General features: G+C 42.5%; 1 annotated feature.

Annotated features, from left to right (window-relative positions):
- Positions 231–1430: an enhancer, noted in NCBI's record as "MED14-independent group 3 enhancer chr11:69503328-69504527 (GRCh37/hg19 assembly coordinates)". NCBI's record gives its function as "activates an origin of replication core promoter dependent on BRD2, BRD4, P300/CBP and CDK7 cofactors, and independent of MED14, by STARR-seq in HCT116 cells {active_cell/tissue: HCT116}" and the evidence as "EXISTENCE:reporter gene assay evidence [ECO:0000049][PMID:35650434]".

Below are 2675 nucleotides of genomic sequence, written 5' to 3' on the forward strand. Positions count from 1 at the left end.
GTGAAATTGCCAAGACTCAATATAACAAAGGTTTATTTATCCACTGTTCTCCTCCAAGTCCAGCACAGGTCACTGGGGGTTCTGCTCCACGTGGTCACGCAGGGACCCAGGCCTAGAAGGTTCACCAGGTTGTGACACAGTCATTGCAACCTCTTCCACGTGGCTTGGTAGAGAAACAGAGAGTGTGAAGAATTCACAACTGGTTTTTGGTTCCCTTTTTACATAGACATTTCAAACATACCCAAGTGTAGATAGTGTAAACAGACCCCCATATACCAATACCCAGCCTCAGCAAGGATCAATATTTCACTGTTCTTGTTCCAACAATGACCTCATTCCCCACGCCCACCATTTTTGCTGAGTCATTTCACCTGTACATACTTCAGTGCATATCTAACAGATACAGAGTTTTTTTACATAACCATAATACATGATCCCACCTAGCCAATTAACAATATAATTCAGTTTCCAGACCATTTCCATTTGTTTCAACAGTTAAAAACTGTCTTTTTAAAGTGTTTTTTTTTAAACAGCCTCACTCATAAGACTTCATTTAACTTTAATCACCTTTCAAAGGTAATATCTTCAAGCACAGTCATACTCTGAGGTGTACTAGAGGTCAAGTTTTTAACATGTGATTTTTGGGTACACAATTCAGTCGTGTGTGTATACACACACACACACACACACACACACACGGTTTTGGAAAAAACAAACTCAAACTGAAGAAAAAGGTTATAGTAAAAGTTCTCCTTCCTACCCTGTCTCCAGTCCTCTAATTCCTGTCCCCAGAAGCACCCACAGTTTTATCGTTTTCTATACTTGCTTCCAGAGAGGTTATCTGCATATATAAGCATACATATGTATATGCCTTTTTTTTCTTTTTTTTTTTGAGATGGGGCCTCACTCTGTCACCCAGACTGGAATGCAGTGGCACTGTCATAGCTCACTGCAGCCTTGAACTCCTGGACTCAAGGAATCCTCCCACTTCACTTCCCAAGAAGCTAGAACTACAGGCATGCGCCACCACACCTGGCTGATATTTACATTTTTTGTAGAGATGACATCTCGCTATATTGCCCAGGCTGGTCTCGAACTCCTGGCCTCAAGTGATCCTCCCATCTCAGCTTCCCAAAATGGTACACACCCTTTTAAATGACAAATTATATTACATTATAGTTGGTGTCCTGAATTTACTTCTTCTACTCCACAATATACCTTCAATAACAAACCAACTGTGAAATTGCCAAGACTCAATATAACAAAGGTTTGTTAATCCACTGTTCTCCTCCAAGTCCAGCACAGGTCACTGGAGGTTCTGCTCCATGTGGTCATGCAGGGACCCAAGCCTAGAAGGTTCACCAGGTTGTGACACAGTCACTGCAACCTCTTCCACATGGCTTGGTAGAGAAAGAGGGAGTGTGAAGAATCCACATTTGGCTTTTGGTTTTCTTTTCAGTTTCTATTATAGACATTTCAAACATACCCAAGTGTAGGTAGTGTAAACAGACCCCCATATACCAATACCCAGCCTCAGCAAGGATCAATATTTCACTGTTCTTGTTCCAACAATGACCTCATTCCCCACCCCCACCTTTTCTTGCTGAATCATTTCACCTGCAGATACTTCAGTGCATATCTAACAGATACAGATTTTTTACGTAACCATAATACATGATCCCCCTAGCAAATTAACGATATAATTCAGTACCCAGACCATTTCCGTTTATTTCAATAGTTAAAAACTGTCTTTTTAAAGTTTTTTTTAACAGCCTCACCCATATGACCTCATTTAACCTTAATCAACTCTTCAAAGGTCATATCTCCAAGTACAGTCATACTTTGAGGTGCACTGGAGGTTTTTTTTTTTTTTGAGACGGAGTTTTACTCTTGTTGCCCAGGCTGGAGTGCAATGGCGGGATTTTAGCTCACTGCAACTTCTGCCTCCTGGGTTCAAGTGGTTCTCCTGCCTCAGCCTCCCAAGCAGCTGGGATTACAGGCATGCGCCATTATGCTGGGTTAATTTTTTTGTATTTAGTAGAGACGGGCTTTTACCATGTTAGTCAGGGTGGTCTCGAACTCCTGACCTTAGGTGATCCACCCGCCTTGGCCTCCCAAAGTGCTGGGATTACAGACATGAGCCACAGTGCCTGGCTAAGTTTTTAACATATGAGTTTTGGGGCCACAATTCAGTCACTTATGTGTGTGTATACACACCTATACACACACACACACACACATATGGTTTTTGAAAAAAGAAATTCATACTGAAGAAAAGGGTTACAACTAAGAGAGAAGGTTTTGCACCTATTTTGTTGAGCTGAAAACCAAACAAGGCCCATGTGTTGAGTTGCTGGCTCTGTCTCCTGGGTCTCTTTATTTTCGACTTCAGTGATGAGAATGCACAGGAGGAGAGTGGCTCAGAGAGGACACGAAGGGGAAACCTGAACTGTGAGAGGTTTACAGGGAAGAATGAAAGTGGGTGACGCTTTGCCTTAAGCCATAAATGAAGGCAAGGGAGATCAAGCAGGCAGTCTTGACGTTAGCGGGGAAGTGAAAAAGAAGATGGAAGAAAGAAAGGAAGGGCCAGGGAGGAAGGGAAGGTGGGAGGGACAGTGGGTAGGATGGGGTAGAAGGAAGGTATCAACTTTCACACATCATTATCAAGAACAAGG

This window comes from Homo sapiens, chromosome 11 (genome assembly GCF_000001405.40).
Source record: "Homo sapiens chromosome 11, GRCh38.p14 Primary Assembly".
Taxonomy (NCBI): domain Eukaryota; kingdom Metazoa; phylum Chordata; class Mammalia; order Primates; family Hominidae; genus Homo; species Homo sapiens.